Here is a 25,540-nt window from a genome sequence, read left to right on the forward strand (position 1 = left end):
TTATCACAATTACAAACAAATAAGAACTTAGTGCTTGTCTTCCCATGTTACATGGTAAGTTCATGAGGTTAGGAACTGTGTTTCTGGTTGTACATGGTAGGCAGTCAGTAAATAGTTATTACATTAATGAATCAATACAGGCATTCCTCGTCCACAGTCAACTCTTGAGCTAGACAGACAAAGATAGGAAGTTACTTATTTTACACATCTGAAGCCACATAAGTATGTCCGGCTGCAATACATCTGGTTTGACTCTATCAAATGCCATAAATATCTCAACAGAAAGAAAGGAAAAAACCTACAATCCAGAAGCAGGCTGTGAAGACAGAGGACACCCCAGTAAGAAAGAAATGAATACTTTGGGTAGTAGCAATCTCAGAACTAGAAAAATGCTACAAGAAAACCGCCAGTGGCAAGACAGGAACTATATTGAAAACAGGGATTACCTTGTAAAAATACAGTTTCCAGCAGACCAAAAATAGGCACAATGTTTCTGTGATCCCAACTTTTGCATTCAGCATTTTGAGAGGTTTTTCTGTGGAAAAGCATTTCCAATTTTACAGTAGAGTTGTAGACAAATGTTGCAATTTATTTAAGCTTTGTTTTATTGTCAAATTTCCTGTAGCCCATCCACTCCATGAAGCAAGAGATAACTGGTTTGCATCATCTTTTTAAAATCACAGCTCTGGATCTGCACTATTGGAACACTCTCTTGTCACCCTGCAATTGATCCTTTCATACTTCTTTCTCCTCCATTGGACTGTAAGTTCTTGAAAGTGGGAATCTTGTGACTCCAATTTTTCAATACTGAGCACAGTGCTGGCACAGAATATGAACTCACTATATCTTGTTACTATAAATGAATAAACAAAATGCATAGGCATGTTAGGCATTTAGTAAATACATGTCAAATTGAATCTTTGATACATGACTTGGAATTACTTCCCTTTCAAGGTATTTGTTCAGTGAGCATAATTATAGAGTCCACAGTCTAACAGTCTTCATTATAGAGAAAAACCGAAAAAGAGCCCTTGGCTTTTCAAGACAATATGCATTGATGGCAACCCCCTTTTTATCATGTGCATATTTCATGCACAAGGACAACTTAAAACTTGGAATGAAAAAAAAACCTCTATAATATTTCTTTGCTCACCAGTGCTGCCCATTTCTGGTATTCTCTCTTTACTGTGTATCCTGGGGGTGATGGGAAGAAGAGGAGAGACGAGAAGGACTTACTAGTAACAGAAAGGAAAATAATGAATTGGGAAGAGGAGCAAAGGGGATGGTGAGGACTGGAATAACAACTTTATAAAGAATAAAAGTCTGATTCCCTTCTATTTCCTGCAGTCTCTCATTGCTCCTGTCTCTGATAAAATGCCTACAGATTTGCTTACTTGATCCTAATTTTATGGCCTGTTCAAATATTACAACTTCTTTTTAAATAAATTAATTTGGAACTAAATGCCTTTAATTTTTACCGTGATAGGTTTGTGGCTCTTGACATCTTTTGGTCCTATTCATCAAAATCATTTGCTAAGTCCAAGGTATAGCAGAGTGGCTTTAACAACAACCATGGAGGATGAATAAAATACATTTTCATATTTACTGAAAGTGAAACTTATAAGCATATATCATCTTCTGCCTACCTTGTAAATATCCCATGTTTTCATTTACATATTGTACCAATTAATATATCTTGGTACTAATCAGAGTGGAATCCACTCCTGACATGGGAGAAAACTACGACAAAAAACATTAGCAGCAAGAAAAAATGTTTGTTTCAAGTATGTGGATTATATTTTCTAGTGCCTTAAAAAAAGAATGAAACTGAAAGAGGCAGCTTGAAGAAGCTTACATGTGTTTAAAACCCACATCCTGTTGTTATCCACTGCCCTGGCACAGAGGAGCTGGGAGGTGAACGTCCTCATTAGGGTCCCTATTAGCTGTGATTTGCAATGGGCTTCTCCAAAGAAGAAAATCACATTCACCCACTGGACAATGGCCCAGGTATCACCATTGATGGGAATCATATATGGAGTAAACATCAAAGCCCAAGAATACAGTGGTCTAAGCCAGTGTGCTTAGAAGTTGCCAGATCCTCCATGCTTCATTCCAGCCACTATCAGCAGATTCTAAATCACCTATGAGCAGAGAGGCCCATCTGCCTAGGGCATAAACGAAATTATAACAACAGTGAGAGAGCCAATGGGAGTCAGCCAGTAAGACTATGAGCAGCATGATGTACTCAGACTTTTGTTCCTTTTTATTTATTTGGTTAAAATACATGTGTTTTTGCTTCAGGCAGATGTTGGTATCCCAGCCTTTTATACAGGAAGCTGTAGAAGGGAGAGGACTTTCTGGGTGGGAGCAACTTATTGTGGAGGCCAAATGGCATTTTTTGTAGGCCCTGAGATTTTTTACGAAAACACTAACTCTGTTCAGAACTCTTTCAAAGGGTGAAGACAAACTTAACAACCTTATACTATAATACAAATAATTACAGAGTGTTGCTTTAAACTTGTATCTTGAAGTTCCTTCTTTAGGTAACTCTGCTTAACAACCACAGACTCTTCTTCCTAATGGCTTATCTGCATGTCTTTTCAATTTTCTAAGTGAAGGCCAGCCCCCTTCAAGATGTTCTACCAACTCAGTCCTATTCTTTCCAGATGTTTTTTTTCTTTTTCTTCTTCTGAAAAGCATGTGTTGATAGACTATGGGGAACAGACCAAGATTTATTTTTTAGCCAGCATTTTCCCCTTGCAACCGTAAGTCATTCTTCCTCAGAAGGCAAGGTGGGGCAAGTGATTCTAATGTGCTTCGCTCCAATGCTTCCATCTCAATAACCCTTTAAAGTGAAAACTGTGGAGAGTGAAGTGAAAAACTTGTCTCCATCTGGAAGCATTTATACAGAGAGGTGTCTTTAGCTTAGTTGTTTGTCTAGAATTTCCATTTATGAACCGACTTGCCTTTCTCCTGTGGGTATGCTGGAGAAAACTCTTTGCAAAATCCATTGTATGCAATAATCCAGTGGCTCCTTCAAACTCAATCAGGCTGGAAAGGCTAAATATGACTCATAGGATTCCTCCAACAAACACAAAGTAAGTCAGAAGTCAAGGAGAGAGTCATCTCGATGTGGACCAGCTTACCTAGCAAGGCAGGGAATTGTCATAAAACCAGTTTCCTGCTTGCAAGACCTTGACTCCTTTCAGTAAAGGTGTCAACTCTTCTTTTTCTGAACAATCTCAATGTGAATGACAGGGCCTGATTCTAGAGGAAGGTGTCTTTAATCTTTTTATGGTTCAGTATAAAGGTTACCTTAAAAAAAGCCTTGGGATATACTTTCAAGATACTGACTTGTGATTTTTTTTTTTTTTTTAAACATCAGTATGTCCTGTTCTAATTTAATCATTATTCTTTCAAACAGGCTGGGAGGAAAGGTTCCTGGACATCCACAGAGAAAACTTATTCAATAAAACATTTTATAATCCTCGGAACACCTGTGCCACCTTCCTAAAGGCCAGTCAGTTCCAGGACTTCCTAAAAATGAAGGTTGGACTGTGTGAATGCCTGTGTGTGTGGGAGTGGAGTCACTCTGTGTGGTGTTGGGGGATGGGGTGGGGGGAAGCAAACTGGCAGACTCTAGAAGGATGGTGGTAGAGCAGAAGAAAAAAGAAGAATGTCTGAATCTGGAGTGGCCCCATGAGACCCAGTCTGTACTCAGGTGACACTGGAATAACAGGAGTTCCTTCTAAAACCAAGAGAGCAGCAGACACTCTGTCATGCCACACCCTTCTCAACTGTCTTATCCCTTGGCCGTCTCCTTTTTAGAAGCTAAAGCAATACATTTTTTTCTTCAGTGTCTCTTGTTCTTGGAATGGAGGTGCAGCATAGTTCCGGCCAATAAGATGGACATCTGATAGGAGAGGGGTGTGCTTTTGGGACACTTTCAGCTTTTCTGATAAGAGGAACACCAGGGCTGCCCTCACTCCTCCCTCCAGTCTGCCAATGTGATACCTGCAGTTTAAGACTATGAGAGAAAGGCATAGAGAATCACAGACAAACTGACCCTGAGCAGTGATATTATTTGAGTCACTAAACTAATACCCATAATGACCTTATATCCAGAAATATTGTAGTGTGTGTGGGAGGAAAAATCCCTATTTGTAATCACTTTATTTCTTACACTGTTAGTCAGTTTTCTGTTATTTGCAGGCAAAAAAAAAAAAAATTCCTAATTGATTCAGCAGAGGAGGCAGATCAAATGAGTAGCCATCAACTCTTAAAAAGGTTGTTTTTTTGTTTTGTTTCGTTTTTTGGGGGACAGCGTAGCTTTGAAAAACCTGAGTGAAACTAAATATTCTTCTGAAGGTAAAACCAATATAGCATATCATGGAGCCTCATAATTTATTTCAAATTTTATGCCTGAAACAACTTACCATCATTACTCTATGCTATGGTTTGAATGACCCCTCCAAAACGCATGTTGGAACTTAATCTCCAATCTGGCAGTATTGACAGGTGGTAACTTTAAGAGGTGATTGGATCATGAAGGCTCTGTCCTCATAAATGGATTAATCCATTCACGGATTAATGGGTTATGATGGGAGGGGAACTGGAGACTTTATAAAAGGAAGAGAGACCTGAGCTAGCACATTAGCACGCTCAGCCCCCTCCGCCACGTGATGCCCTGTGCCACAGAATCCCCACCACCAAGAAGGCTATCAACAGATGCAGCCCCTCAACCTTGGACCTCTCAGCCTCCATAACTGTAAGAAATAAATTCCTTTTCTTTATAAATTACCCAGTTTTGGGTGTTTTGTTATAAGCAAAAGAAAACAAACTAAGACACTCCATCCAGTGGTTCATGACATTTATTGAGAGGAAAGACAAGGTGTATTCTATAGCTATAACCGTAGAATTGCTTTTGTTAAGTATATTTATGTTTATACAAGCCTATAACCTTATTTTCCTACATGAGCCGAAGGTATCGTCTAATGGGGTTCTTGGCTTACCCCAAGTCCTTCTGATAATATTGGAGACTTATAGAGACTTTTGAAAGGAACACAACATAATGAATGGAAAGAGCAAATATCTTGCCTGGTCCCTAGCTAGTGACATGATATTGTGCAAATTACTTTGACTACCTGAGCTCCATATTATTCGTCTATAAAATAAGGAAGTGTTCAATTCAGTAACTATTTCAATGTTATTGTCTAAACAGTTTGATTATAAACAACCAAGTTACCTAACTGCAGACAATTTTATAATTATTTTTTCACCAATATGTGTTATGTTAGATTTCTAATATATCACCATGAACAAATATTTAAATTCTAAAATTTGTATTTGATACGGTCAGAATTCCTAAAATCAGTGGCATTCTCTGACTCAAAGAGTTATTTCCCTCCTGGCTCATTATTCTCCATATTAATGTTTTTAAAAGATGTCCTGAAGTCCTTGCATCTTTCTGGGTCCCAACCAACATCTACTGAACTTGAGTATTTGAGGATGGAACCCAGAAATCCGTATTTTTCACAAGCATTCTGGGACATTCTGACATGTACTAAAGTTCGAGGACCACTAATCTGGAAATAGGTGTCACTGAGACATTGGAAGATTAAAAATTGTGTACGGTTTTTATGATAAATGAAGACAGAGTTCAGTCACAGATTCAGTTTTTTACTTCTCCAAATGTGCTGATTTAAGGTCATTTATAACATTCTCATAGATTAATTTGACCCTCAGTTAGCATTATTATTTATTGTATAAATAAAATTCACAAAATCAAACTGAAAATAATTCTCCCAAGATTTTGATTACTGCTCGTTTTCTTTCCTCTTGTTTTTCCCTCCAGTCACCATTTGTTCTTATTTTTAAAATTTAATCTTTTTTTTTTTCTTTTTTGAGATGGAGTCTCGCTCTGTTGCCCGGGCTGGAGTGCAGTGGCGCAATCTCAGCTCACTGCAACCTCCGCCTCCCAGGTTGATGCCATTCTCCTGCCTCAGCCTCCCGAGTAGCTGGGACTACAGGCACCCGCCACCACGCCTGGCTAATGTTTTTTGTATTTGTAGTAGAGATGGGGTTTTACCATGTTAGCCAGGATGGTCTGGATCTCCTGACCTCATGATCCGCCCACCTCAGCCTTCCAAAGTGCTGGGATAATTTAATCCATTTTTTAAATCCTTGTTTTAATGCTCTGTTTCATTTACTGCCCAAAGAATGGCAAGCTTGTAGATAAACATGGCAAGTGCCATATTTGCCTGCTTTACTATAATCTCAGCTTTCTGCACCTTCTGGCTTATTTTCAATCCTATCATCCATTAATAAAATCAAAGGAGTCATGTTTACTTTGCACCCATGTTTTTCTTGATCTCTCTTTGGCAAGATTTGATAGTAATCATTATACTAATTGCTAATAGTAAACTGCTTCCCCGGGAGTTAAAAAAAAGTTCAGGAATTTCTACTCCAGTTTATATAGTTGATTGGGTTGAGAACAGCATGACATTGTAATATCTATATAAACAATGCATTTCTCAAGAGTAATTTGCTCACCATAGCATTTGGTATACTATCACCTCTTTAATCAATTCTGATTTATTCAACTTTTCTTTTATTACAAACTAGTCAAAATATTCCCCAAAATGTCATGTCCAATTCAGGTATGTTTTGAATACACTGCCTGTCATTGTTAAAAGCAGGACTGAGATCTGTAAGAGAGACCAGCATTGTTTGCCAATGTTTCAAAGCCATTTAAAAGGCAAGATAACTTGGAATAAACAGACTGAATCAAAAAAGGTTAAAGCTATTACAATTCAACAATTTAACAACAATATTAGTCATTGTTATTTCACAATAATATGTTCAGCATTTCTAAAGTGTTTCTCAATCAGAAAATGTTCATGTATCTTACAAAATTTTAAACTACTGATGAGTCACACATAGCACCTTAAAAGGAAGTCTGGTGTCCATTGTGAAAGATAAGAATTTAAGAGGCAGATGATCTCCCACTAATGACATACATTTATCCAAAGGTAAAGCTAAGATAGTTCTGAAAGAAAGGAAAGGTGAAATGGGATCCTGATCTTTTATACAGTACATCCTCTAGCCACAAGGGAAATTCCTTTTGAGTCTGTACTTGGGCTCAGCAGGTATGGAGGGGGGCTGGTGGGACCACAATGACCCCTTTGAATGGTCAAAGTGGTTGGTATCATTAAAAGAGCAACCAAATTGGAGTCAAGAGACCCAAATGTATGTTTCCCAATCCTTATTTATTATTTGTGTAGCCTTGTGCATGTCACCATCTTCCTGGGCCTGTCTGTGCCCTTATAAAAGATCTATAGCATTAGTGTATTAACAGACCTCCTTAGGGGGATTTGGTGAGGGAAAATTAAGGAAATATGTAGAAATCACTCTGAAATAAATGTTGGTTATAGTTATAATTCAAAAAAGACCCAGATCACTTCTTTAGAGCCTAAAAGCCAAGTATGGACTAGAGTGCCAGAGTGTCTCTTGTTTGGGCTATTGTTCTACATTTACCCACAATTATCTCAGCAACTATTCATCCCCAAGTAACCTAACTGGGGGAGCCTAGCCCAATGCAGAGGTTACAGGTCCGTAACTTTTGTAAAGCCCCCTCACAAACTAAGATGTCAGCTGCTGCCAAATTAGTTACAAAGTATGGAACCCATCCATGTGTTCGTTTTTTATAAGGCCCAGACCCCCATTCAGTTTAGTATCTGGAAACCCTGACTTTTGCATGCTGCTGGAGAAAAAATTATCTCCAAACCAATACCTACCTCTGGCAGGAATGTGCATTGGAACAGATTGAGGCAAAAATAACCCATTTGAACACAATATGCAACAGTGTATACAAATATGTTTTACGGCTGGACTTGAGTTCTGATTGTTAACATGTCCTGTTTTGTGCCACTCACTCAAAAATGTGTTCTATTAGGAGTCAGGTTCTATTCCTGACCCTCTTAGTCACGCTGGGCAAGGCATTTCCATTTTCCTTAGCTTTATCTTAACCATCTTGGAATGTCTCCTCATCCACTCTACCGTACTGGTTTCAAGTTATGTCTTCTAAGCTAATAACGGAGGGTCCACAAATTAAGCATTACAAATTGTACTAACTACTGTATTGAAGTAGGAGTCATGACCCCAAACCACTTCTTAAAATGCTCCTGAAATGAAAACGTTGAAAGGAGTACAAATCATTGCTTCAAATACTCTAAAAACTAGTTACCACACAGCATATCTTATTTCGGCATAGGGTACTTATTTAGTTTTGCAAGAACACATTTAATACCCTAGATATGCCTTTCTTCAGCTATAAGCCCACTACATCCTGTGAGGAGAAGAGTTTGAAGAGCAAGACCTTCTGGCTTTCAAAAGTTAGCAGACGGTCAGGAATTACCAATACTGAGGCTGTTAACATTAACCTAAAGAAATCAAGGCATTTCAAATTGTTACATAACTAAACCATGTTATTTATTCTTTGTACACAAATACATAGTGTCAGCTGACTTTCATTAGGAATGTGGTAGAGACAGCTAGAGGACAAGCTACAGAAGAGGCCCAAGCAATTGCCAGTACAAGCAGGCACGATGCAAAGCATTTCTGCCTGTGAAAATGGACAGAAAAGTGGCTGGCTTTAGCGCGGGGAGGACGAGGGGAGAGTTGGCAGAGGCAGAAAATGTGATGGAAAAACAACAGAGTTATTTTCCCCATGAATTACTCTTGCAGGTTGTGTAAACTTTCAAGTGAATAACTAGAATATGGCTTATGATGTAACTGAACAGTACAGAAGTCTGCACAGAGAAAGTCCTGTTCAAAAGAGAAGGAACACAACCACTGGTGAAAGACAGCTCAGCAGAAATGATATGGAAGAGGGGAAGGGAAGTGCTGGGTAGAGGAAGGCATGGTCCCAGGTTAGGACTCCACCCCCACGGACCTAGGTGAGGACAGGCATTTTTGTTTTCCTGCCCAAATGCTACATTTCCCAAGACCACCCAGGCCCCCATCCTGTGCCTATAAAAACCCGAGACCCTAGCAAGGCAGAGACAGAAGCAGCTGGACGTGGAGAGGAGCACATTGGCAGAGGAACACACAAGCGGCTAGACGTTGAGTGGAACTCACCAGCAGGCACCAGCAGGCCACTGACGGGCAAAACAACACAGAGTTTGGCTGGGGCAGTTGGAGGAGCGCTCGGCCCCCAAGCGGCCCAACTTATGGGGAAAATCATCTCCCTTATGGCTCCCCCATCTGCTGAGAGCTTCTTCCACTCAATAAAACCTTGCACTCATTCTCCAAGCCCACGTGTGATCTGATTCTTCCACTACACCAAAGCAAGCACCCCAGGATACAGAAAGCCCTCTGTCTTTGCCACAAGGTAGAGGGTGTAATTAAGCTAGTTAACACAAGCTGCCTTTGGATGGCTACACTAAAAGAGCACCCTGTAACACATGCCTACTGGGGCTTCAAAAGCTGTAAACATTCACCCCTAGACACTGCCCTGGTGTTGGAGCCCCACAGCCTGCCCGTATGTATGCTCCCTTAGAGGCCTGAGCAGCAGGGCACTGAAGAAACGAGCCACTTCCCCATCGTACACCCTGCGAGGGGGACAAAGGAACTTTTCCCATTTCACCTCCTCTGTCAGTACCAAGCTGGTCTGTATGAGGACGGCAGTCTTTGAAAAACAACATATTGGCCAGGCGTGGTGGCTCACACCTGTAATCCCAGCACTTCGGGAGGTCGAGGTGGACAGATCACGAGGTCAGGAGATTGAGACCATCCTGGCTAACACGGTAAAACCCCATCTCTACTAAAAATACAAAAAAATTAGCTGGGCGTGGTGGTGGGCACCTGTAGTCCCAGCTACTCGGGAGGCTGAGGCAGGAGAATGACATGAACCCAGGAGGCGGAGCTTGCAGTGAGCCGAGATGGCACCACTGCACTCCACCCTGGGCAACAGAGTGAGACTCCGTCTCAAAAAAAAAAAAAGAAAAACAACATATTGGTGCGATTCTGAGCTTCACTGACAAAGTGAAATTGACTACCTCTCTAACTGATTAACTATATCTCAATTTCAAATACTGACCACAAAGGTAGAATCTAATTATGAACTGACATATTAAGACCTAGGTGCTTAAATGGTAGGATGTACTTATTCTAGGCTTCCTGTGCTATGACAGGCTTTTACTCTTATGTGGTTAGGTATGTTTCCAGGGACATGCCTCGGTGAATATCACACATGGAAATGTGGTTAATAATGAGCCCCTTCTGTGATGGAATTATTATTCAAGGTATATAAATTTAGAAATACGTGAGGCTTAATAAAACATAACGTTATTGAGAAGTAAATCTCCCATTGAGCAAATCATACATTATTTCACATAATAGGTCCACAGATATTTTTAAGAGAGTGAATGAAAGGCCATGTAGCCTGCTGAGGAACAGTATGTCCCTAATGTATAGTTTTATATATGTGTAAAACCTAGGAGAAAATAAAGCAGATTTCCTTGCAGAGGTAGCAAAATTGTCAGCTACTTGGACTTTCAGGGAAAATACACAGTATTTGAAGAAAACAATAGTGGAGTCAGTGCCAAGCTGATGAGTAAAGTACAGAAACACATTATAATGGAGATGAGCTGGTTTAAATAAGCCCTAAGACAATCAAAAAATTATGTCTCCACTAAACAAAATTTCTATCCCACATATTAAGACTGTGACACAAATAGACAAAAGAGAGGAAATACATGATTATAGATGCTTAATTCGGCCAACACAAACACAGCATATCCATTTCAACACTGTGTGGAATTATTCAGCTTCTAGCTAGGGGAAAAAAGAAAAAAAGCATCAGGAAAAACAAAAACAAAAACAAAATCAAAATCCTTTCCTACAGTTCCCTCAAGGCAACCAGAAAGTGAAACTTAATTAAACAAGTGAAATGTAATTACCTAATGCTTACCGCACATGGTGCTGATTTTCACTTCACATTCTAGGTTCATTATTAACGGGCTGGTGCTGCCCAGAGGTAGGAATAAAAATTCTATGTAGGGGTAACCATTGGCAGGGAGCAAGAGAAGGAAAGTGCTACCTGTTCTGACCTCCCTACAGGGGCTCAATTCCTCCAGTCACTAGTTTCAGCTAGTCACACTTCAGGCTGAGACTGTGAGTAGAGTCTAATTATGGGAGGGCTGTCCCTCAAGCATGGTGGGAGGTAACCCCACTCTCTGGAGGAAGCTGAATCTGAATCTGGGGTTTTTTACACCTCTCAGGACCTCACTGTGATTGCTCACTCAGCCCACTTGCTATTTTCATGCACTGTTTAGAACAACTCAGCAGTTTCTTTTATAGGAAGAGGCATTTGACATAAGGCACCTGTTGAAACAATTTGAAATGTGATTTCATCATGACTCTGGAAACATGGAGATGGCTTTCTTTTGTTGACAGGTACATACATTCAGAACCAGAAGGATGCCATCTCTGCTCTCTATGATTTCATTTTATTATGAAGTTTGATGCTATAATGGTATTTGGATATCTTTATTTAACTTTGTATTTCCCTTTCTACCATAGCATCTTTAAGCATACATCTTAAAAAGTAGGCTGGGTGCACTGACTCATACCTGTAATCCCAGCACTTTGGAAGGCTGAGGAGGGAGAGTCACTTGAGTCCAGGAGTTCGAGAGCAGCCTGGGCAACATAGCAAGACCCTGGTCTTGACAAAAAATAAAATAAAAATTTCAAAATTAGCCAGGTATGGTGGTGTACTCCTGTAGTCCTAGCTACTCCAGAGGCTGAAGTGAGAGGATGGCTTGAGCCCAGGAGTTTGAGGTTACAGTGAGTTATGATCACACCACTCCAGCCTGGTGAGAGAGGGAGACCCTGTCTCAAAGCAAAAAAGTAAGTAAATATTTTTCCTACCTATGTGGCTTCCAAGGAACAAACATTTGAAAAATCAAAAACCCTACTTACAAGGAAAATTGGTATATGATATGGTTTGGCTGTGTCCCCACCCAAATTGCATCTTGAATTGTAGTTCCCCTAATTCCTATCTGTCATGGGAGGGACCCAGTGGGAGGTAATTGAATCATAGGGGTGAGTCTTTCCCATGCTGTTCTCGTGATAGTTAATAAGTCTCACGAGATCTGATGGTTTTATAAAGGGGAGTTCCCCTGCACACGATCTGTTGTCTGCCGCCATGTAAGATGTGACTTTGCTCCTCATTTGCCTTCTGCCATAACTGTAAGGCCTCCCTCACTATGCAGAACTGTGAGTCAATTAAAACTCTTTCCTTTATAAATTACCCAGTCTTAAGTATGTCTTTATTGGCAGCAAGAGAAGAGATTAATACAGTATATACATCAAGCAAACACTAAATTGCTCGAATAAATGCATATTTGGATTAGAATAAATCTCTAAAACTGAGAAACATACTCAGAAAGTTATGAAACAATATAATGTTGGCATCATAATCCACTTCATTCATATACCATGGAAATGACTTGGTTATTTTTATTGGAACTGCTAGAGGGAATCAAATATGCACAGACTTTTGAGAAATTTCAAGTTGCCTGTTATTGAAGATGATTAAGACGGATGACTTCATGGTGGGCATACTGCATCAGGTAAGGGATTGAACTAGGTTTCCTCTTAGCTCTTTTCCAAAGTGTCTATGGTTCTGTGAATCTGGTGAGATTTCTATGGTAGAAAGTCACATGAATCATCATTGTAGGTTTATGCTTCAGCTCTCCATTCAGCCTAAATAGCTATTGTATGTTATGTTCCTGAGAAGGTATTAACATGGTTGTTACTGAAGGGACCAAGGCTATTTCCTTCTGTTTCCTTCCACTCACTTTGGCATGTCCTAGTAAGTATATATATAATCCATTAAAAACCTCTTTTTGCTTTATTTTTTGAGGTACATTCTTTTTATTTTGGGGGGAAATGTCTTGCTCTGTTGCCCAGCCCAGAGTGCAGTGGCACAATCTCAGCTCACCGCAACCTCTGCCTCCTGGGTTCAAGTGATTCTATGCCTCAGCCTCCTGAGTAGCTGGGATTACAGGTCCATGCCACTATACTCAGCTAAGTTTTGTATTTTTTATAGAGATGGGGTTTCACCATGTTGGCCAGGCTGACCTCAAACTCCTGACGTCAAGCGATCTACATGCCTTGGCCTCCCAAAGTGTTGGGTTTACAGGTGTGAGCCTCCATGCCCAGCCTTGAGGTGCATTCTTCATTTGGCTTCCAGGTTGTTCTCCTTCCTCACTTACCACTCCTTCTAGTACCCTCTGGGAGTTTCTATCCCCTTGACCTCTAAACGTTGGGAGCCCCAGAGCTCAGAAACCTCTCGTTAAACCTCATGGCTTTAAATATTTAAATTAGCATAGCACTGATGACTGACAAATGTATGTCTTTAACCCAGACATCTCCCCTGAACTCCAGTCATATACACAAATGATATCTCCTTAGATGGCTAAGACTTGACATCCAAAACTGAGCTCTTGATCTTTTCCTCAAAACTCAATCCTCCCCAGTTTTCTTATCCTTAGTAAAGAGCAACCCCATCCTTGTAGCTGCTCCAGTAAAAAGACTTGGCATCTAGGTTGATTACTCTTTTTTTAAACCTTACATCCTATCCACTAAAATTGCTGGAGTCTCTACCAGATATCCAGTATCCAACAAATACCACTTCTGACACTAGCAGTCTGTTCTGAGATACCACCATTTCTTTTCTTTGAGATGGAGTCTTGCTCTGTCACCCAGGCTGGAGTGTAGTGGTGCGATCTTGGCTCACTGCAACCTTTGCCTCCCGGGTTCAAGCAATTGTCCTGACTCAGCCTCCCGAATAGCTGGGATTACAGACGGGTGCCACCACACCTGGTTATTTTTTTGTATTTTTAGTAGATATGGGGTTTCACCATGTTGGTCAGGCTGGTCTCGAACTCCTGACCTCGTGATCCGCCTGTCTTGGCCTCCAAAAGTGCTGGGATTACAGGCATGAGCCACCATGTCCAGCCACCATTTCTTATTAATACAATAGCTTCCTATATAATCTCCTTAAAATTTCCCTCCTCCTGTCTTTTTAAAAACACAACAGCGAGAATGATCCATTGAATACCTAAGTCAGATTATGCCACTTCTCTGCTTAAAACCCTCCAGTACCTTCCTGTAATGGTTAACATTAACTGTTAATTTGACTGGATTGAAAGATGCAAAAGTATTGTTCCTGGGTGTCTGTGAGGGTGTTGCCAAAGGAGATTAACATTTGAGTCAGTGGATCGGGAAAGGCAGACCCACCCTCAATGTGGGTAGGTACCATCTAATCAGCTGCCAGTGTGGCTAGAGTAAAGCAGGCAGAAGACGTTGGAAAGAGCAGACTTGCTGAGTCTTCTGGCCTCCATCTTTCTCCTGTGCTGGATGCTTCCTGCCCTCGAACATCAGACTCCAAATTCTTTAGCTTCTCGACTCTTGGACTTACACCAGTGGTTTGCCAGAGGCTCTCACACCTTTGGCCACAGACTGAAGTCTTCACTGTTGGCTTCCTTACCTTTGAGGTTCGGGACTTGGACTGGCTTCCTTGCTCCTCAGCTTGTAGGCAACCTATTTGTGGGACTTCATCTTGTGATCCTGTGAGTCAATTCTCCTAATAAACTCCCCTTCAGGTATACATATATCCTATTAGTTCTGTCCCTTTAGAGAACCCTGACTAACACAGATTTTGGTACCAGGAGTGGGAACCAGTTAAGACTTTGGGTGACTGTTGGAAGGGTGTGATTGTGTTTTGAAGTGTGAGGACATGAGATTTGGGAGGGGCCAGGACTGGAATGATATAGTTTGGCTTGGCCCCACCCAAATCTCATCTTGAATTGTAGTTCCCATAATCCTCACTTGTCATAGGAGGGACCCAGTGGGAAGTAATTGAATCATGGGAGCAGTTACCTCCATGCTGTTCTCATGATAGTGAGCAAGTTCTCATGAGATCTGGTGGTTTTATAAGGGGCTTTTCCCCCACTTTGCTCTGCACTTCTCCTTGCTGCCACCATGTGAAGAAAGATGTGTTTGCTTCCCCTCCCACCATGATTGTAAGTTCCCTGAGGCCTCCTCAGCCCTGCTCAACTGTGAGTCAAATAAACCTCTTTATAAATTACCCAGCCTCAGGTATGTCTTTATTAGCAGCATGAAAACAGACTAATACACTTCCCATCTAATTCAGAACAAAAGCTGAAATCTTTTCAGTGGTCTACAAGGCCGTATGCAACCTGCCTCCAAGACCGCATTACTTCTTTGATATCAATTCCCATTTCTCTCTCCTTCGCTTACTGCTCTGACCATATGGGCCACCTTGTTATTCCTAGAGCATTCCAGGGATACTCCTGTCTCAGAATGTTTGCACTTTTTCTTCAGCCTGCCTAAGAATGCTCTTTCCCCTGATGTCTGCTTGGTACTATCCTACACCTCCTTCAGGTCCTTGCTCAAATGCCACCTTCTCAGTGAGGCTTCTATAACCTTCCTATTTAAAACTGACTCCTTTCTCTGACTTATTTTATACCACAACACGTGCCACCATCCAACATCCTATGCATTGTACTTGTGTTGTGTTGTGTTTTCTCTGCTAGAATGTAAGCCCCATGAGAACAGGAATTTTTGTTTGCTCAACATGTGCCTACTACAGTGCCTGGCATATAGTAGGACTCAATAAATATTTGAGTAGATAACATTTAAATATGCTTAAATTTCAATTGTTACATATATTGAAACCTCTTGGTTTACACGCCTCTTCCAGGTTAAGGGCTTCTGTGATCTCACAAGAGGCATCCACCTTATCAGGGTCAAATTTTTCAGACATTTTTCACATAAATGGTCAACTGCCTGAACCTAAAAAGTTTTTAGAAAACAGGACATATTATGAGTGGGAAACAAACAAACAAAAACCAACATATATTTAAATACCTTCCAAGAAAATCTCAGAAGCAGCCCACCAGATTTAGATACTATATACTTGGCTATGTTGTTTTGCAAAGGCTGGAAACATAAGGAAGTTCTGGAAGTCAGCAAACACCAGTATTTGGCCTTAAAATGATTTAACACACACAAAAATGGCACTGTGCCTTTGGAGACCTGGAATGCAGCATTACAGGTTTTCTCCAAAACAGTTTCATTTACTTAACATTACTCTGACCCTTTAACTTCTAACTTGCTGTACAATTAAGCTATTTAAGCCTTCGACTTAGTGCTCTTTGTGCTACAATCTGGGTCTAAAGTGAAGCAAAAACCACCCTACACCTTTCTGTTTTACTTAAGGTTATTCTGTCCCATGAAGAGGTTTACATATGCAAATTTTAGCACCACATCTGTTTAGCACGCAGTTGTAAGGCTGAGACTATTTCTATTTTACTTTTTCATTCCATAAACATTTATTCAGCCCCTACTATATGTGTTTCAGGCACAGAGAATCAGAATTTTTTTTTCTTGCCTGTTTCAATGCAAAAAGTTCCTACGTAATGCTGATCACATTAAAGTTTGTTACCATGGAAACAAGAGGACAGTCACAATCAGAACTGGCATCAAGTTGCATTGAAAGTAAGGTACTGCTTCTGACAGCAATTGAAAACAATCTGAATTCTGTACTGTTTATAAATCAAGGCAATAATCTTGTCTGTCTTGCACAGCCTTTCTTATTTCCCCATAAAAGTTGTAAATGACTTTTGGAAAAAAAGTTTATCTCTTGAAACGTATTTTTTTTTAAAGTTCAAATTAGATTAAAAGGAACACAATTTACTGGGCTTCACCAATATTTGACCTGGGAAAAATTAGGCTACCCCAAAATAGTAATTTCATGCAAATGAAGTAATTTACTGTCATATGTTTAAACAAATGGTTGTTAATTTTGGAACTTTTTTTCTTCTTTTGTAGCTTTCATCCTTATCCTTGTTTATCTTATTCATATTTTTTCTTTCTATTGCAAGTTATTCTCCATAGTGCTAAAAAGAAAAAAGAAAGCAAACATCATCGGAAATATGAATAAGGGACCTAAGTTAGAGTCCAGTTTAGTCTATGTAGTAGTTATGTGACTTAGGGCAAGCTATTTTATGACTGTGGGACTCAGTTTTCTCATCTGCAAAATGGGGGTGATACTCCCTAAATTATTGAGATTTAAATAAGACAATTTGTAGGATGCCTGGTATATAACAAGTAAGGAGATAGCCAGCCTCCATATCAAATTTGTGATATAAGGCAAGATGCTTGCCTTTCCCAGGCCTTCATTTTTCATATATCAAATGGAGATTTAAAACTTTTCATTTACTAAACTCTTTGGATTGTTGCAGGGGTCAAATCCTTATTTTTACATTTTTACAACATGTAATTCCCATTCATTATAAGATAGTATCATCCTGTTATCCTGTCTCCTTTCTTAGTTGCAGTCTCTCTTGGTATTTTCATTTATTCCTAGTTCTTTTTCTTGTTTCTTTTTCTTTTTCCTTTTCCTTTTTTTTTTTTTTTTTTTTTTTTAGAAGGAGTCTCGCTCTGTAGCTCAGGCTGGAGTGCAGCGGCGCCATCTTGGCTCACTGCAAGCTCCGCCTCGCGGGTTCACGCCATTTTCCTGCGTGAGCCTTTCTGCTAGCTGGGACCACAGGAGCCCGCTACCACGCCCTGCTAATTTTTTTGTATTTTTAGTAGAGACGGGGTTTCACGTGTTAGCCAGGATGGTCTCGATCTCCTGACCTTGTGATCGGCCCACCTCGGCCTTCCAAAGTACTGGGAATACAGGCGTGAGCCACCGCACCTGGCCCCTACTTTTATAAAGGATTTCTCATCTTTTTCTTTATAGACATCTTTACACGTCTCTTTCTCTCTACTATAGCTTTCCTGTTGTTGTATTTTTGTTTCTCTGTTAACTATAAAGTTTTAGAGTATTTCTTTTATTTGTCCTTATTCCTTATGAATTATGTAGTTATTTCTATTATGAAAACTTTAAAAACCAGAAATATTAAATTAGGTATTAATTAATGTTTAATTATAGGTTTAGTTAAACCTATTAATTAATTAAACTATTACTAATGAAAAGGCTAGCAATGTGGAATTGCATTGGAAAAATAAAACATAAGTTGAAACAGATGCTGCTCATGAGCTATATAGCTCATATGTCTAACTCTTTTATATCTGGATTAGATGTTTAATTTGGAAAAAAATGCATTCTTTTTGTAAATATTCAAATATTGCTAAAAGGTCTAAGAAGAAAATAAATATCACCTGAATCTAATACCCTAGAGATCACTACTGTAAATAGTTTGATGAACTTGTCATGAATCTCAATGTATATATGTGCATATTAGATATGTATAATTTCACATAAATGGGCTCATTTATACATATTTTAAAGTCTACTTATTCACTTAATTTATTGTTGCACTAATTCCATGTTAATGTATATGTATTGTATCTCAATTTTAATGGCTGCATAATATTCCATTGTATAGATGTATCATAATATATTTAATAAATTCCCTATGGGTGGACATTTAGGTTACTTGCCCCTTTCTGCTATAATAAAAATGCTGCAGAGAATAACCTTTGTGCCCAGATCCCTTTAGAATAATGGCTAAAAATATAATTAATGAATGAGTTCTTAAACATATCCTAACTTTTGCATTTTCTTCTTTATCCAAACACTAAGGAATTTTTTTTTTTTTTTTTTTTTTTTTTGAGACAGAGTCTCGCTCTGTCACCCAGGCTGGAGTGCAGTGGCGTGATCTCTGCTCACTGCAAGCTCTGCCTCCTGAGTTCACACCATTCTTCTGCCTCAGCCTCCCGAGTAGCTGGGACTATAGGCACCCGCCACTACGCCTAGCTAATTTTTGTATTTTTAGTAGAGATGGCCGTGTTAGCCAGGATGGTCTTGGTCTCCTGACCTCGTGATCCACCCGCCTTGACCTCCCAAAGTGCTGGGATTACAGGCATGAGCCACCACACCCGGCCAGAATTTTTCTTTCTTTTTGTACAACTCAGACCATGTGACAACTTAAAGTGAAATTCAACATCAGTGCTGTTGTAGGTAAAACTGCCTGAAGCAGGACACTTGAGAAGTGTAGAAAGCTTTGTTTTTCCATTAATTTTCCCTAAGTTAAACATTCCTACCATAGAAATAATAGCACATATAAAAATATTTCCTTATCCTACAAATCAATAAAAATAAAGACTCTTCAGCTGGTCTCTATGTCTGTTTTAACTTACCTACCTAATTATATCTATTATAATTAGCCATATCATCAATGTCGTTAGCTCTTCACTATGGGTAAGAGCTAAATATTTTAACCCATAGAAGGTCCTACTTCCAAGCTCCAGGAACTTACATTCCTTCATCAAGAGGGTTTTAGAACGACTGGAAAATGTCTAGCATGGTGAGTAGGCTAAGTAAGAATGTTCTAGCCAGGAAGATAGCAGGGAAATCAGTTTTCCCTCACATGCTTGTGCCTGAGGGGATTTTGCTATCTCATGTCCATGAAAACAGGTACAGAATCTATAATTCTCAAGAAAGGAAAAAGGTAAAATAATATCAAAGCAGCTACCGGTTTCCTGGTCCATTCTCTACTTCTAGAGAAAGCAGTAACTGACAGAATAATATAATGTCAGAGACTTTTGTTTCCTTTTTCTCCTTCAAATGGATCCACTTTACTGAGAGGAAGGCTATGCACATTCACTCTTGCTGACTGATAACTCTGAACTGTGCTGTTACACCCTTGCCATCTCTCTCTCTTGGAAAAGATGGTTTTCTGCCTATAGAGAGGACAGGAAGAACAATTTCTTATCCTTGTCAGTGCCCAACACATTTTAAACTTAATCCTAAAATCTAAAACAGCAAAGTCACAGAGGACCGCATTTAAGGAAAGAAAAGTCCTTGTCTGTCTTTGAACAGAGCACCCTCAAAAGCTGAGAGTGACACCTTAGGGTCATGCCAGCCTGTACCGACAACCATAGTTCCAAGGCCAAGTTTAGGCCAAAGAAGATTTTATAATTGAGGCAGAGCATAAGAACTAGCTTTTTGGATCCACGTAGTTAAATGGATCCACACATTGAAATGGCAATGTCTGTGCCTTTAAAACACCAATCAGGTCGAAGTGGCTTGCGAAAAGGCTACTAAAAAACAGAAGAGGAAAAAAATGTGGTTAGCTCCCCATTTTCATAATTATTTCTCCCATTTCCTCCTCTCCATAGCTTCTCAGACCCAAAAAAAAAAAAAAAAAAAAAGCTTTTAATCCTTGCTCTGTGCAGTTATAGTGGAAACCTAAAGGAAACCTAAATCTGGATAGTACTATGATAAATATTGTAAGATTTATGCACTCATCCCACTGATATTTATCAAGTGTTTAGCTCATACGTGCAAGGTACTATCTAAAGCCGAGTGCGGCAGGCCTCTGTACACAGAGCAGGATTCATGCTCTGTAAAAACTCACAGCATGAAAGATAAGCTCAGATATTTATGATACAAGGCAATATATTTAAAGTGTCAGTTCAGTGCCATACTCAGTATAAAAAAGAGAGGAGTCACCCACGGAATGTGTTGAGAAAAGGCATGTAGAGGATACACCATTTTTACCAGGCCAGGAACTATAGCAAACTTAGGACTTCTGTATCTCGATTTTTTTTTCTTTTATTGATACATAATATTTTACATCTTTATGAGATGCATGAGTGTTTGTTACACGCACAGAATGAGAGATGATCAAGTCAGGGTATTTGGGGTATCTGTCACCTCGAGTATTTACCATTTGTATCTGTGGGTATCACTTCATGTCTTCTCTTCCATTACTTTGAAATATACAAAATATTGTTGCTAAGTACAATCACTGTATTCTACTATCAAATATTAGAACTTACTGTCCAGGCGCGGTGGCTCACGCCTGTAATCCCAGCTCTTTGGGAGGGCCGAGGCAGGTGGATCACCTGAGATCAGGAGTTTGAGACCAGCCTGGCCAACATGGTGAAACACCGTCTCTGCTAAAAATACAAAAATTAGCAGGGCGTGGTAGCAAGCGCCTGTAATCCCAGCTATCTGGGAGGCTGAGGCAGGAGAATCGCTTGTGGTTGCAGTGAGCCGAGATCATGCCACTGCACTCCAGCCTGGGCAACAGACACTCTGCCTCAAAAAAAAAAAAAAAAAAAAATTAGAACTTTCTAAAATAATTTAAAATGGAATAAAAGATATCTTAGAAGAATTAAATCCTGAAGTACTAATTTAGTATCCTGAAAAAGTTAATAAGGTAAACAAAATAAATGGCCTGGCACATAGTAGGTGCTCTAGAACTGCTAAAACCCTTCTGTGGGAACTTTTTTTTTTTTTTTTCCATTCTCCAGGGCAGTGATTCTCAAGCTAGATACACAACAGAATCATCTGGAGGACTTGTTAAAACAGAATGCTAAGCCCCATCCCCAGTCTCCAATTCTGTGGATCTGGGGCAGAGTCCAGTAATTTGCATGTGTGATGCCGCTGCTGCTGCTGTTCTTGGAAGCACACCTTGAGAACCACTGCCTGGGGAACAGCTTAGCTGCTATGAGAATCTGATTCTGTGTTCATATTCCGTATCACAGATAGCTCTTGGCTTTTCAATTGTGGTTTCTTTTTTTAATGTCTTACTAAGGGGGAAAAAAAGGAACGCCACTTTATATAAACCTGACCTTTTGGTAAGCCTGGGTAGTAACTTCCCATGTGGAGTAAATTAATCTCTTTCATGCATGCCTCGTGCTCTGGAAAAAGTAAAACAGATTGTGTTAGACATTTACCAAGTACTTTTTCTGTTGGTGGTCACTGCCCTAAGCCTATCAGAACTGGTTTCTACCCTTAAGAAGCTTACAATGTAGTAAGGCGGACATCCCAACAAACCAGACATTGGAGTTCATTGTGTGAGGTGCTATGATGGATTATAAGACATTATGATTGACTGAGTATTATGAAGGGGTGAAGCAAACTCAAGCTGGCAAATTAGGGAGGAGGTAGATCACACAGGCTTTCCTAATGGGATTACTTATGACTCATTGAGTAGTGAAAGATGAATAGGACTTTACTAAACAGAAACTGGAAGGGCTTTCTGGGCTAAGGGAACAGCACAGAAGCATCAAATACACTTTACCTTTCTAGGGCTGCCAGTAGTTTAATTCAGCAATACCACATCACAAAGGTCTTTGTGTGCTTTGCTAATGAGTTTGAACTTTATCATAAAAGCATTTTACAAAGATCACACTGGCAGCTGCATTTTGGAAGGGATTTGCCTAGAGGTAGGATAACTGCGGGGGGTATGTCTATAGCAATAAAAGTGAGAAAATATGAGATCTGAAGGAGCTAACATTGTGGCAGTGGCAGTGGGTATAAAGGAGAAGGGAGGACTAGAAGAGATATTTAAGATGCAAACAATGTAGGAACTGGGTGATTATAGAACTGAAAAGTGAGTGAGAGGGAGGAATCCATGAGAACTCACATATTTCTGGTTAGGATAAAAGACTGATTGACTGACATGAAGACTACAAGAGAAAAAAACAGACTTGGAGTTGAAACTTCAGTTTAGGACACTGAAACTGAATGATGTGTCATTCAAGTGGAAAGGCCATTAGGCAGTTAGATATGTAGGCTTAGAGCACAGGAGAAAGGTCTTAAAACCCTGGGCTTATGGGACGTTACCACGGAGACTGCACAGAGTGAGAAGATCCATTTTAAAGCTGATGATGAATAATATTTTCGTTATAAGGAGAGAAGCAATGTTAGGGGTGTCTTCCCATTGCTGGAGTGGGTCATTTGCAGTATGCAGTGCATAAACTCACAGGCTGTCCTTATGATGACCTTTTGTTCATTCTTACATTCAGTATACAGATGAACAAAGGAAGTATTTTATGTCTTGTAAATTACAAGGGACTATGCAGTATGTAAGGGAAGATACAGGAGAGTAAGGGAAGGAGAAAGAGGGTGACTAACAAGCTTCTCAGAGATTAGCCAAGAACTATGGCATTGAATCTAGGTCTCTCCTGTCCTCAATTTGACACTCTCCACTCCCCTGACATGTTTTGTATTAAAATATATTTTTCTTTTTATGAACATGTCATACCTATGGCTCACCTGTGTCCTTGCTAACCTACAGGTTTGGACAATCTGGAATTGGCAGCATGCATGACTGTGGAGCTTTAAAGCCACCCTCCTGAGAGAAGAGCAGCTGACTCATGTACCTCACCATGCAGATGAGGGTGTGTTATAACCCACAGTGTGTCTGTGTCCCTGGATGAACTGAGCACTTTATAATGGAGTTTTTCTGCATCTCAAAAAGAAGTCACAGATTAAATGGTAACTGCAAGAGCTCATTTCTCTATTTGAGTGAGTGCTTTATCAAAAAAATATTTTATTCCTGCTGCTTTACCACAGGGTCAATTCAAGTCTAAATGAATCTGGCATGTATAAAATATATTTTTATATAGCTCCATATAGAGATATAGCTCTACACAGCCATTAACAGACTCACACACAATCATTCTTTTATTCCAGGTGTGAACTGCTATGCTATTTCACCCAGTTCAAACACAGGTCATTGGCTTTCAAACTAATTTTGGAAAGCAGACACTGTGTAGTTGGTAGGTGGAATAAAATGAAAACAAAAAATTAATATGCATGGCAGTTTAACTAGCTGTGTATCTCTCATGGAAAGGGGGTAATAGTCTAAAATTATTTACTCATTTTTTTTTAAAGTCTTTAAAAGAAGGCAATGAATTGCCAGTAATTTCCCCACCTTAACTCATGGTAATTTGTTTCCTGCTGGGTGAAAACGCAGGGATCTTGAAACTGTTAATGAACTTTCTTTCTCCTGATCTGTACAATGTCAAATTCATTTCTTTTTTTCTTACTTCAGGTTTTACTATTCTGTTTTGTTTGTTCCATTTTTGTATTTTTTCCTGAGGTCAGGGATGATTCTATGGAAGCATGAAAATTTGTAGTTGAAAGGGATCTTAGAACTTCAGCAAGATTTGTGATAGATGGTCAAGTGGGTCTGGGCTCGCACCCTCCCTAAGGTGAAAGACTCACTGCCTTACCCCACAGCTATTTCACTACTTACAGACTACCACACAATAGCCAGGGTGCTGCCCTATTTGCAACATGAACTGGAACATTATATTGGGACATAATGATGAGTGGTAGCTAAAAGTCCTTTCCCTCTGGTGTTGTTATTTGGTTAAATTGATTTACATAATGTTATTCTGTGGTATAAACCTTTCTCATTTATCTCATATATATCCCATTTTAAGCTATAAGCTCCCAGAGGGGTAGGTACTTCATCATTACTTCTGTACTCAAGTATTTTGCATATCTTTGATACAAAGTAAGAACAATGTATATGTATATCAGTTTAACTCTCAGATGAATGAACTAATAAAACTTGTAACAGTATTTTCCAATGTAGTGAGTACATTAAGCATCATTAATATTAAAATGCAAATTAATGCATTATTTGCAAGTTTTCAAATCATGTGTACTTAAGAATTTTCTTTTAAAATGTATCAAAAGACTGAACATTCAAGCTGATTATCATAAAAAGTGTATGTATGGGGGTAATATTCAAAATATTTAACAACCCAGAAGAACATGGGAGCTGTAATTCCCACAAATCACCATGTGAAGGTGATTCCAGGGAAGAGTCAGTCAACAGAGAATAGCCACTGATGGAAGGGAAGTGGGGTCTGGTGGCAGGTGATGGATAGATCACTAAACATTTGTCCAAGAGAGTGCTAGTGTTGCCGCTAGGGGTGAATATTTCTGTTGGGGTCCAGGTCTGCTCTGGCTGGGGAGGTGTGGGGAAGCAAGCAGGAATGGGGCTGCAAAAGGCTGGCTAGGGTAGCCCACAGTGGTATCTGCCCAGGAATCCCTGGGGTCTGGGCAGGGTAGTGGGAGGCACTGGTTGAGGGAAAAGGAATAATAGTTTTTTTCCCTGTTTGTCAGCTGAGTTAGCAGCCCTGGTTTTGAGAAATATTAAAATATGCCTTTGATTTTTGGGGATATCAATGAGTTTTGCAATGAAGTAGAGGGGATCACCAGTTTAAGACTTACTGATCAGTATGGGCAACATGGCAAAATCCCACCTCTACAAAAAAATTAAAAATTTGCTGGATGTGGCAGCATGCACCTGTAATCCCAGCTACTCAGGAGGCAGAAGTGGGAGGATCACTGGAGCCAGGGAGGTCAAAGCTACAGTGGGCTCTGATTGTGCCACTGTACTCCAGCGTGGGTGGCAGAGCAAGACCTGTCTCAAAACAAAACAAAAAACAACAAAAACAAAAAAGACCTGATCTACTGAGCAAACAAACTACCATCACAAATAAATCAGAACTTGAAAAATAATGACTGTAGGCCAGGCGCGGTGGCTCATGCCTGTAATCCCAGCACTTTGGGAGGCCGAGGCAGGCGGATCACGAGGTCAGGAGATTGAGACTATCCTGGCTAACATGGTGAAACCCCATCTCTACTAAAAATACAAAAAATTAGCTGGGCGTGGTGGCGGGC

General features: G+C 39.8%; 1 protein-coding gene across 1 annotated transcript in view, besides 3 other annotated features; it reads right to left on the reverse strand.

The window, feature by feature from the left end:
• The window catches only part of MAML2 (mastermind like transcriptional coactivator 2), a 366,598-nt gene that overhangs the window by 279,984 nt on the left and 61,074 nt on the right, over positions 1-25,540 (reverse strand). The gene's annotated exons all lie outside the window — the stretch shown is intronic.
• Positions 2,085-2,174: an enhancer, noted in NCBI's record as "active region_5424". NCBI's record gives its function as "activates an Ori minimal core promoter by ATAC-STARR-seq in GM12878 lymphoblastoid cells {active_cell/tissue: GM12878}" and the evidence as "EXISTENCE:reporter gene assay evidence [ECO:0000049][PMID:35858748]".
• Positions 2,215-2,264: an enhancer, noted in NCBI's record as "active region_5425". NCBI's record gives its function as "activates an Ori minimal core promoter by ATAC-STARR-seq in GM12878 lymphoblastoid cells {active_cell/tissue: GM12878}" and the evidence as "EXISTENCE:reporter gene assay evidence [ECO:0000049][PMID:35858748]".
• Positions 23,141-23,200: an enhancer, noted in NCBI's record as "active region_5426". NCBI's record gives its function as "activates an Ori minimal core promoter by ATAC-STARR-seq in GM12878 lymphoblastoid cells {active_cell/tissue: GM12878}" and the evidence as "EXISTENCE:reporter gene assay evidence [ECO:0000049][PMID:35858748]".

Source organism: Homo sapiens, chromosome 11 (assembly GCF_000001405.40).
Source record: "Homo sapiens chromosome 11, GRCh38.p14 Primary Assembly".
Lineage (NCBI taxonomy): Eukaryota > Metazoa > Chordata > Mammalia > Primates > Hominidae > Homo > Homo sapiens.